Below are 12,386 nucleotides of genomic sequence, written 5' to 3'. Positions count from 1 at the left end.
AGTTTATAATTCTGTAATGCCGTCATTAAGATTGAATGACAAATGACATCATAAACCACAAAATTCCTCTTGTCATATCTTCCTTTTTGGAAAGCGGACTTAACATACTGTGTTTTAATTTCAGTTTCTATAAGAGTTAGAATAAATCTCCAGAACGTGTGTCTCTGTTATGTGTTTATCCCTTGACTATTCATACCTGTGGATATTATATGTAAATTACAGAATCTATTCTTATGATTATTTTTTCCTTTTTTAAACCAATTTCCCATTTATACCAAAAATTTAATTATTCTGATAAGATTTCTAATAGGCATTTCTTCAGTTTCATATCGAAGAATAAAAAATATATAGCTTTTTTTTTCTTTTTTTTCTTTTTTTTCTTTTTTTTTTGAGGTGGAGTCTCGCTCTGTTGCCCAGGCTGGAGTGCAATGGCATGATCTCGGCTCACTGCAACCTCCACCTTCTGGGTTCAAGCAATTCTCCCGCCTCAGCCTCCCAAGTAGCTGGGATTACAAGCACCTGCCATCATACCGGCCTAATTTTTGTATTTTTGTTGAGACAGGGTTTCACCATGTTGCTCAGGCTGGTCTTGAACTCCTGACCTCAGGTGATCCACTTGCCTCGGCCTCCCAAAGTGTTGGGATTACCGGCGTGAGCCACGGCGCCCGGCCTATAGCATGTTTTTTATTTATTGGATTTACAGCTGTGATTCCCTCCCCATATACGTATTTTTCTAGTTTTCATATTTTGTGATGTAGCTTTGTACGTTATTAAACATAAATGCATATAAGCATTACTGTGCATTAAGTCACAGTAAAAAGGTGAAAACATCATTTCATATAGAATAATTGTTTCATGGTAGATTACATGTGACAAACAACATTTACATATTTCTCAGATTTCATCTTCACAGTTCTGGTAATTAGATAGGCAGATACTTAATCTCTATTTTATAGATGAGAACTGGCCTCAAAGATGTTGAGTTTTTGCCCAAAGTAATATCAGTCACTTCTGGACCTGCGCCTGGATTTTCTTTGCCCCAGTCTAGTTGTCATTTCATTAAACTATTATTATTGATGCAGTTGATATATTTTCCTTTCAATAATGCTTAAAATTATATTTTGGTCTTTAGTTGATTCTTGGCTAATCATCTGTAATTTTTCTGCTTTAGTCATTGGAAACCTTTCTGATATGTTTTCAAAATGTACTTTCTTGAAACTGAGCTTCTAGCATTGTTAATATCAGTTAAGCAAATTACAAGTGATTCACTTAAGTAATGAGAGAAAATTCAAGCATGCATTTTGTTACACAATAAAGGCAGAAAAGGCGTATATGAAGATTCTCTGAAATCTTCTGCTACTGAAATTCATCAAACGTGATTTTTCTTACATATGTAAGTTAATATGAAATGTGAATGACCTTTTTAACAAGAGAAGTAGAACACATTAATCTCCATAATTCCTACAGCATTTAATTTTTGTGGATATTTTTGTTCTTTTTTCTAGTGGCTTTTCATGGCCTGCCACTGAAAATCAAGAAAGAACCCCACAGTCCATGTTCAGAAATCAGCTCTGCCTGCAGTCAAGAACAGCCCTTTAAATTCAGCTATGGAGAAAAGTGCCTGTACAATGTCAGGTAAAGCCACCAGGTGTATGTATGTAGGATAGTGGTTCTTATTGAATCAAAAAGTCCAGAATAATATGAAATCTCAAGTCATATTTTATGAGTAACGTCTTTAATATGTAACAAGCTAATTAGGTAATGCATTTAGCAGAACTCTAAAGAACCATTTACCATCCAATCACACACTTTGGATTCATTTTAAAGCAATAATTTTTATCCAGATCATTAGTTGCTTTTCTACTGTAGTGATGCATCTTGGGTTTGAAAAAGGGGTTTTACTTGGCACAAGCAGCTTTTGAAAGTTCCCATTAGAATGAATGCATTATACACTTTAGATAGAGAGTTTGCAGAAAAAAATGAAACATTTGGCAGGTCTGAGCAGTACATTAGTTATCTGCCAGGCTTTGCAGATGATCTGTAAGATGAGTTCATGGACAATTGCAATAAAACTGGAATTTCATAAGGCTTAGCAGAGGCTATTATCTATTAAAAAGCTGGTTGTTCTTCTGATGATAATAAAGGGTGGTGCAGTAAAAGTGCATTGTTCATTTATTAGAAAATTTGATCACATATATGTTCATTAAAAACCCTTCAAAGTAAATTGTATGATGCTACTTTTCATATTGGCCTTTAATTGCATAAAGAAAAAGTTGGCTGTCTCTACTGAGTATTATCACTCTCAATTACAGTAGAAACTTAGTTCTTAAAAGAAGTTAGTTTGCAAACTTACACAAATTATTCCAAATATTCATACTGTTTTATAAGTTATATCAATTCAGATTCATTGTACATTATGACCCAAAGGGGTCTTCTATTAAATAATTCCTCAGATATTTATTGCATACGCTGTTTATGTCCAAGATATGTAAGATTCTAGAAACATAGGCCAGACGCAGTGGCTCATGCCTATAATCCCAGCACTTTGGGAGGCAGAGTTGGGCGGATCACCTGAGGTCGGGAGTTCAAGACCAGCCTGACCAACACGGAGAAACCTCGTCTCTACTGAAAATACAAAATTAGCTGGGCATGGTGGCGCATGCCTGTAATCCCAGCTACTACAGAGGCTGAGGCAGGAGAATCGCTTGAACCTGGGAGGTGGAGGTTGCTGTGAGCCGAGATCGCGCCATTGCACTCCAGCCTGGGCAACAAGAGCGAGACTCCATCTCAAAAATAAAAGAGAAACATAGACTTGTGCCATTATGGCAGCTGACCAATGCTCAGATATTTTATTACCATTTGTTCTTGCAAACTTGTCTTTTATATTTGCTTTTCTAAGAGGTTCACCAGAGCCTGAAATTATGAGCTAGCTCAATTGAAACTGCAAAGTTTTATAAAAAAGGTCTCTTGTAGAAGGTAACTATTAAAGCATAATGAGTTCAGATAAGACAGTATTGATCGATCTGAGTTTTATTTTATAGTTTAGTTTTGTTTTTGCATTTTCTCCTTACAAGTACTGTGTATCCACAGCATAATTATTTAACATATTGAGGAATTTCTAGTCAATGGCAGTTAGATATAGAATTGTCATTGCCTTTCAGCATTAATCAGAATTGTGACTGTGAAATCATCACTGTTTTATATGCCATATCTGACATCCACAAATCAATAATAAAGGAATTGCCTGAATATTTTGTGTTTCTTTTGGGGGATGAAAAGTCCCCACAGTGATATATGGCATATGCAATAAATTCTGGTACTTCCATCGCTATACAGAAAATATTATTGAGTACAGCATTTCATGGGGGAATAGTATCATTTGTTTCTTCATTCATGAGAATGAGTTAGGTGAACCATTTCACAAAAGAAGTGGGTTTTTCTTCAGAAATACTGGTAAAGAACATAGGTGGAACCAAACATGCAATTCATTATATGAACACTGTTGACTTTGCTTTGAAGCAAGAGCTGCCTTGTGCAGCATATATTCCTTTACTCCTTGTAAAAGATTTTTGCAGCTGGATATAATTCCGTTGCATTGATGGAGCAACAGAATAAATTATTACATAATTTAATTCAAAAAGAAATATTTCTTTCTAAAGAAAAAAGTGTACTGATGATTGCTTTTTATTTTATTTTACTTATTTTTTTTTGAGACAGGGTCTCACTCTGTCAGCCAGGCTGGAGTGCAGTGGCACAATCTGGGCTCACTGCAACCTCTGCCTCCCGAGTTCAAGCGATCCTCTCACCTCAGTCTCGTGAATATCTGAGCCTACAGACATGCATCACCACGCCCAGCTAATTTTTTGTATTTTTAGTAGAGACGGGGTTTCACCATGTTGCTCAGGCTGGTCTTAAACTCCCGTGCTTAAGCGATCCTCCCACCTCAGCCTCCCAAAGTGCTAGGATCAGGGGCATGAGCCACTGCGCCCAGCAAAATGAAATACAGCATTCTAACTTAGAAATGCCCTGTTGTTAAAAAAAATTTAAGAAAATTTAGTTTTAGTAAAATATTTTATAGATGACCAAAATTAGCTAAATCACATTCCTGAAAGTTACACCTAGGAAAGCAGTTTAAAATCATAATGTAAAATCAAGCTTACTCATTTTATTCTTCTGTAACTGTGTTTAGAAGTTAGACTATAATAGGATTTTATTCCTAATGACATTATTTTTTACTTATTCTCTAAGAAAGTTTAAATATATCAGACATTTTAATTTACCTCATTAATCTTCATTATCCCATGTGGGGAAGTTAATGCCAAGCATCATTTATTTAATATAATAAAATGAAAATAAAGTAAAAGCATTGCCTTCTTAAAATCCCACCACAAATAAAAGCAAGCCAGGTGTGGTCTCTGCCTTATTAAGCTGATGTTAGTTCTTGTTTTAAAATCTTACATAATATAAAAGAAGAATATAATATCAGAAGTATTTAATGATTTAGGAAAGATCTATCAAACTTTCTCAAATAGATATATCAAGAATAGATGGAAAAAATACCACTGCTTTTTTGGACGTAATTTTCCCTGTACTAAGTTGTTTGTATATGCATTAAAAATACACATTTAATATTTGTTCTGTTACAAGGTTTTGCATTAATCATCCTATTTTCTGTTTAAGGGTGTTGTGATTTTGAAGTTTATCTGTTCTGGATTTAAACAACAATAGCAACAACAAAGTTTTCATTTCCATTTGACTTAAGTCTAAAATATCTTTTCTTCCTTTGGATTAGAAACTTTTTTAAAAAATTGCTCCAAAGAAAGAAATGTTCTCTCTTCTTTTGTCCCCTGGGTAGTGCCTATGATCAGAAGCCACAAGTGGGAATGAGGCCCTCCAACCCCCCCACACCATCCAGCACGCCAGTGTCCCCACTGCATCATGCATCTCCAAACTCAACTCATACACCGAAACCTGACCGGGCCTTCCCAGCTCACCTCCCTCCATCGCAGTCCATACCAGATAGCAGCTACCCCATGGACCACAGGTAACCTGCAGATACCAGTTTTCTAGAAACTGTTTTTTGCGTTCTTGGAAAAAATTTCTATTAACAATTCTGAAGGCCTAGAGTAGATTTAAGGTGAGCCTATTAATTTTGCACATCTGTGCAAAATATTTTTAGAAAGAGCTCACTCTATCTATACTTATAATTTGTGGAGAAAGTCATTTATAAACATTCCTTTTATAAACATTTAAATTGGTTGCTAAAATGGAAAATTAATCTATCTACTGACATTTGAGCATTTCCCTTTCGCTTTGCTTGAATTAAATTGCTTCACTTAAACTTTAAATCAGATCATCCCATTTTTATGAGCATATGTGTGTACTTGTTCTGTAAAGTTAGGAGACTAATTTTAGTAGGTAGCTTATGGAATTAGGTTTTCTACCTTATATTGAATGGTTCAGCTGTACATAGTTTTGCAGAATATAACTTATTTGATTAAAACTGTTGACCATCTTTTCCAGGTGATTAATATTTAATATCAGTAGACGCATGACTCTGGACACTGCGAATATACAATTAAAGAGATAGAGACTCAATTAGTATTACTTAGAAAGGAGCAAGGCAAGAAGCATAGCATAGATCTAAGGAGAATACTGCGTTAGGTAATTCATGACTCCTTGAGATTAAGAAATTCATATTTAAGTAAAATACTAAATAAAACCTGTAGAGGTTCTGAGATGTACTACCTTAATATACAGCTTAAAATCAGGTTGCTTATATACAGCATCTCTCCTTCTTTATCTCTTCTGCCCTGTGCTTCTGTATGCAGTGGCGTGCTGGTAAATGTTTAGCAACAGCCTGCATGAGAGAAAAACAAAACGCCCTCATCAGTAGCTTTTGCTGGGTCTGTGATGTACATATTGCTTTCATGGCCCACTACGAGCCATCACTGTGAGAACCCTGAATGCCGAGTTGCAAAGATGCAATAGCACAGCGTAATGTAGTATTTCTAGCATACGGATACCAGAGACATAAGTAACCTCAGGTGTATAATTGGTAATGAAATGTAGTAAGATAATTAGAAAGTGATGAGTTTTGCATTTTTATCTTCTGTTTTTAACATATTTTTTGATTGTGAAGTTATATAATTTAACTGTTAATAGTGGCTGTGTTTAAGAACTGGCTCAAAAAATTCCTGCAAGTTTGACAATAAGTCAGTGCAAACTGGCCCTGAGACACCGTTGTAAAAATAACTCAGCCAAAGGAATCTTCTAGATCAGCAGAGGAAAGCAGAAGATGTGCCACTGGCAACTTTCTGAAAATAAGGGAGCACTCAAATGTGCTTTTTATAGGTTTTTTCATGGGACTCAATCTCAAATTCAGAAACTCATTTTGCTATAAAGGGCGTAAGATGAAAGCGTTCTTTACAATGTGATACAAAGCCTTGTCTTTTCCACCCTTGGTTCCATCACTAAGTCCTCTTGTGGGGTAGTTATTAAATGCTTCCTATTATCTTTTTCTTCTCACCCTGTAGCCTTGAGACTTTGTCAGAGTGCAATGGTATGTGCATCTGTGTAAACAGTTTTGTAAATACAGATGAAAGAATTCTTATTGCAGGGTGGGCCATTAAACAGATGGACATTGTGCAGAGCTGAAAGGGAACAAAAAAATATGAACAAACCAAGTTTTATTTTCTCCACTACTGGTGACTTCTGAGTTCTTGATAACTGAATCTCACTCTTCTGATCAGTGCCAGAATTATAGATTGTATAATTCGCTTTTTGTGCAAACTGGTTATTTCTTAGGGAAGGTGCCTGCTGAATAAGCAGTGTGCCTGGTTTTAGGTGACCTAACTTGAAATGCTTTAGCCAAATTCATTTTAGTTTCTCTACTTGAAGTCAGATATTTGAGACTGAGAACAGCCGGCCCGGAACTCCAAGAGGGAAGCTCGGGGTCTTTTCCCACTGACCCCTGACTGAGTTTTGAGGACAGTACCAGCTGGCCAGTCCCAGGAAAATCTCTAAAGCCGTATGTTTCTGAGGAGGATTTCTTAGAGGGCTCTGGCCAACAAATGACAGTCCCTCAGTTATAAATGGCAAATTTGCTCTGGGAACAGATCCTTTCCCCAAAACACCCCCTCCAGCCAGGCACCCCACTTCACTCTGGGAATGCTTTACGGCCAACTGGCCTGCACCCTGCTTCCTTTCCTCAGCCTCACTCTGCTCCTGGGGCCAGCCCTTTGGCACTTTTTCCTGAACCCACTGTGCAGGAGCCCTGTCTCTCTTTCTCAGTGTTTCCACCACTTACACCCTGTTTTTCTTTATCTGGGAGTTCATCAGCATGTTCTCCTTATCTGTTAACTCCTTTCCAGAAGCTTCTTGAATCACTTTCTCTTTACCATTGGTCAGTGGCTCCTAAGAATTGCACCAAAACCTTGCAAATTCCTGAGAAGCATGCGTGTTTGATATATACATGTTCCCCAGCAACTTCCAACTGGAATCAGGTCGACTCGTAAAAACAAATGGCTTGATTCCTTACAAAGCTTTCAGTTACAAGTATTATTAACTTCCTTTTAAGGCTTCACAAGTGAGCCAGTTTCTTATTTTAACTTCAAGTTACAATTTTCTGATTCACTCCTTGACAGTTCTTAATGATAATTTCTGTTTCTTTTTTTGGCTAATGAAATAAGCAAGAGAAGGGAAATGAATGCAGTGCCAGTCAGCCTAACTGCTCTGCAATATCCGAGTTTCTAAGTTTATTTTCTGCAGGTGTAGGTGGAATTTCAGTGCTTTCCATGACCACCAGTGAGCCTAGAGTTAAATCACAGGATGGAGTGTTCTTAGAAATGCTAAAGCAATCGCTTTGCCATTCTTTAGCTTTTACCTTATTTTTATTTAACATTACCGAAATTAAATGCTAACTTTCCAAATTAAAGTCTCAGGAATGCTTTTAGTGGGGGGGTTATTAGGCTTATATTTGCTCATAGAAATGTTTTATAGGTTATTTTTAAGCACTCCTGGGGCATTTTTAGAGCACTTTTAAATCTTTAATTAATCCACATCTTTGTGGTGGGTCAATGATATTATGGATGAGAAACACAGAACAGAACGATTATGTGATTAGCCAATTGTTATAAAGTATAACCAAGAACAAAGAGGCATAGGACTCATTTCTAGCCTTCTGCTGAGGCCTCAGAACTTCCTCATGTCCTAACAGCGGGACTTGCCCCAAACCTATACAACACTATATGTTATTTTCACCTTTGGAGATCAGCTGTGCATTTATGCTTATTTTTATCAACCTGATACTGTATTTGAATCTATTGGAAGCCAATATGGTCTGCATTGCTGTTTGACAGTAAAGAGGTAGTCTTTTTACAACCGGCTTGGGTTTGAGTCCTTATAATACCTAGTTTTGTTTCTTACTAGAACGCAATGTTAATTAGGACATTGTTGAGGAATTGAAAGTCCTGATTTGAGAAAAAAGTCATTCCTCTCTTGCTTTCTCAGCAGGTTTTTGGTTGGTTGGTTTTTTGTTTATTGATCAGTTTGGTAACAGAATTAAAAGATAGAGGATGCAGTTTGAGATCTTTTTCTGGTATATAATGATTTAAGAATCTTGTGTGGAAATTATCCGTGATCCAATTGATTTAGAACTAGGCATTTTAGCCATTAATCGTTGTGTGTGTGTGTGTGTGTGTGTGTGGGTGTGTAAAATCCTCAAAGTTTTTCATTGCTCTCCAATCCTTACTCAAAGTACATCTTTAACTCATATACTGCAACAGTGCTGCAAAAGACTGATTAGAAAGGGAATATAAGTCATATGATTAAAAAACATAGAGCTACTAATCCAGGAAAGAAAAACGTAATGCTTGTTAAAGATTTACGCTTCAGGTCAGCTGGTATCATGTTCGTTCACTAAGAAATGGAAAACCGTATCCGTATTTTAAAGAATGTTCCATGTTACCGTTTCATCTGAAACACACTCTCTTATTCCCTAGATTTCGCCGCCAGCTTTCTGAACCCTGTAACTCCTTTCCTCCTTTGCCGACGATGCCAAGGGAAGGACGTCCTATGTACCAACGCCAGATGTCTGAGCCAAACATCCCCTTCCCACCACAAGGCTTTAAGCAGGAGTACCACGACCCAGTGTATGAACACAACACCATGGTTGGCAGTGCGGCCAGCCAAAGCTTTCCCCCTCCTCTGATGATTAAACAGGAACCCAGAGATTTTGCATATGACTCAGGTAGGCCTGCGCTCTGCGCAAATTACATTCAAGGCACTTTTTCACCTCCCTTGTCACATTGGTTAGTGTTGGTATCAGACTAGGTAGCTCCTGACCATTTTTTAATAAGATCTTTCAGATTTTGTCCGTTCATTGAAACTTCATCTACGTGTAAAGATTTGAACTATCAGGTCATTTTGACATGAGGTGATGGTTGAAATAGTGTCTGGAAACAAAACCAGTTTAAAGAAAAATACACTTTACAGAATTATGCACAGTCTCAGCTCGAGAGGGACATTGCAATTTTTTTTCTTAATTCTGTACTTTTTTTTCTTCTTATTTTGCTACTACAGTGCTACTTAATAAAAATGTTTACAGAAAGTAATATTCTTCTGAACTAGGTCACATGTTGCTTATAACATTTAAGAAAAAATTACTGGGGTCCCGGTGCAGTGGATCACGCCTGTAATCCCAGCACTTTGGGAGGCTGAGACCGAGATCGAGGCCACCCTGGCTAACACGGTGAAACCCCATCTCTACTAAAAGTACAAAAAATTAGCCAGGCATGGTGGCACGTGCCTGTAGTCCCAGCTACTCGGGAGGCTGAGGCAAGAGAATCGCTTGAACCCGGGAGGCAGAGGTTGCAGTGAGCCGAGATCGCACCACTGCACTCCAGCCTGGGTGACAGAGAGAGACTCCGTCTCAAAAATCTCAAAAAAAAAAAAATATATATTGGTGGCAAAGATTCTAAGTGTTCGTAAGTAAGAATTCTTACATATTAAGAGGGGAATAACAGATTATTCGTAGAGTTTAGCTTTGTCTCTGTGAGCTAGAAAGTAGTACAAAGCAGCGGGTCAAGTGGGGGAGTGGGGTTTCCTGAAAGGAGGGAGGGTTTAAAATCTTTTCCAGTCTGGTGGCTCACGCCTGTAATCCCAGCACTTTGGGAGGCCGAGGTGGGCGGATTACGAGGTCAGGAGATTGAGACCATCCTGGCTAACACGGTGAAACCCTGTCTGTACTAAAAACACAAAAAATTAACCGGGCATGCTGGCACGTGCCTGTAGTCCCAGCTACTTGGTAGGCTGAGGCAGGAAAGTTGCTTGAACCCAGGAGGTGGAGGTTGCAGTGAGCCAAGATTGCGCCACTGCACTCTAGCCTGGGTGACAGAGTAAGACTCCGTCTCAAAAAAAAAATTTTTTTTCCAAATAGTACCACCAACTTTGCCAATATTTGAACCTTGAGACTTTAAAAGAATTACTTAACCCTGCTGAGTTTTTCCTTCTATAATCTGCCAAATCAGGACATCTGTTTTTAACACATCTCAGGTATTTTGAAAGATAATCTATGAAATAAAAGCTAATGTTTATAAGGTTACCATGTACCTGTAAAATATTGTTAACATTATTGTATCTGTGGTCAATAGATGGTTGTGGATGTGGAAATATTTGAGAACAGTTTCATTTCCTTTTGTCTGGATATAAAGTTTGGGCATTCTTTATGAAGGGAGTATTGCGTCCTCTGCTGAGTTTTTCTATCATCAGTCTACTTGAGTAAAGAAAACTACCTCCAGGTCTTGAGTTACCAGTTTGCGTATAAGATTACCTGGTTGATAATGAACTGCCCTTAAGGCTCTGCAAAAGAGAGCCCTGTGACTTAGAAGTCTCCCTCTGGTCATCCTTCTACACTGGCCAATAGGTTCAAAGGACGAAGGGAATTGGCCCCGTTGAGGCATGCCTCAACTTCTAGAAAGCATGCAAGCTCCCCAAAACCTATGAATTCTCTGCCCAAGTGGCCTTGAGTCTACTTCCAGGGCCTGAGTAAGTGCATCCCAGGCCCTGTTTTCTGAAACCAGAGCACATTGCTCCTATATATAGTGCTAGGTTCAAGGGTGGCTAAAGGGCAGTTGTTCGTGAAGGCATGAGGATGGATCTTGATGTGTGAAACTCTCACAGTGTGGCCCAATATTGAGCTCAAGGATAGGAAGAGAGACAAAAAGTGGGGTGTGTCAGGATCTGAAGACTGGGTACTAGCTCTCTCCATACCACATACTCTTCCAGGCTCATTTTAGAGATTTCCTCAGCTACTAAACTTGACATGGCTGAGAGGTTGTTATGGTATACAGTTGCAAAGATGAGAAGACACCTTATTTATCAGTTTGCTTGGCCGATTTATAATTTAAGAAATTTTAACAGATTGTATAAGAGTCTTTATTTGAATTTTTGCCCCAGGGACTGTAATTTGGGGAGTATCTTGAAATTCCCATTGTGGTTTCAGTTTAGAACCTTTTGTATCGTCCACTGGTGTCTCTAATTAAGAACCCTGCAATACAGTGGGCTCTATTATAAATAGTACACATTTATCTCTGTAAATTTCAAATCCTGTTAATTGATATTATCCTTATTCCCCAAACCACATTTTAATTTGTTGTAGTTTTTAAAATTCATTATGATTTCAAGAAACTTTATGTGGAAATCATATAAATTATCTCAAATAATCATTCCAAAGAACATGTATAGCATAGCACTTAAAATATTTCTTTTTGTGCTCTAGAAATGAATTTTTTTTGAGACGGAGTCTCGCTCTGTCGCCCAGGCTTGAGTGCAGTGGTGTATTCTCAGCTCACTGCAACCTCCGACCCCCGGGTCCAAGCAATTCTCCTGCCTCAGCCTCCCGAGTAACTGGGATTACAGGCACCCACCACCACACCCGGCTGATTTTTGTAGTTTTAGTAGAGACGGGGTTTCACCATGGTGGCCAGGCTGGTCTCAAACTCCTGACCTCTGGTGATCGGGCCACCTTGGCCTCCCAAAGTGCTGGGATTACTGGTGTGAGCCACCATGCCCTGCCTAGAAATGTTTTTATATGTATAATACCAAAAAGAGCCACACTGAAACTCTTCTCTTTTTTTTTGAGATGGAGTCTCGCTCTGTTGCCAGGCTGGAGTGCAGTGGCACGATCTCGGCTCACCGCAACCTCCGTCTGCCAGGTTCAAGCGATTCTCCTCCCTCAGCCTCCGGAGTAGCTGGGATTACAGGCATGCGCCACCATGCCCGGCTAATTTTGTATTTTTAGTAGAGACAGGATTTCTCCATGTTGGTCAGGCTGGTCTCAATCTCTTGACCTCGTGATCTGCCTGCCTCGGCCTGCCAAAGTGCTG

The 12,386-nt window shown here is 38.5% G+C and overlaps 1 protein-coding gene across 18 annotated transcripts in view; it reads left to right on the top strand.

Annotated features, from left to right (window-relative positions):
* ETV1 (ETS variant transcription factor 1) overlaps nucleotides 1–12,386 on the top strand; it is a 100,197-nt gene that overhangs the window by 50,674 nt on the left and 37,137 nt on the right. For 17 of the 18 annotated variants that reach the window (NR_120445.1, XM_011515168.4, NM_001163148.2 and 14 more), the window contains 3 exons: nucleotides 1,506–1,635; nucleotides 4,856–5,044; nucleotides 9,003–9,250. Coding sequence is in view for 17 of the 18 variants with exons in the window: in XM_011515168.4 (XP_011513470.1) it covers nucleotides 1,506–1,635; nucleotides 4,856–5,044; nucleotides 9,003–9,250 (567 nt within the window). In the remaining variant the exon portion in view is untranslated. The remainder of the gene's footprint in view (nucleotides 1–1,505; nucleotides 1,636–4,855; nucleotides 5,045–9,002; nucleotides 9,251–12,386) is intronic. The other variant, NM_001163152.2, reaches the window with a different exon arrangement.

Source organism: Homo sapiens, chromosome 7 (genome assembly GCF_000001405.40).
Source record: "Homo sapiens chromosome 7, GRCh38.p14 Primary Assembly".
Classification (NCBI taxonomy): domain Eukaryota; kingdom Metazoa; phylum Chordata; class Mammalia; order Primates; family Hominidae; genus Homo; species Homo sapiens.
Note: the sequence above shows the minus strand (reverse complement) of the source record. Positions and strands in the feature narration are given on the sequence as shown.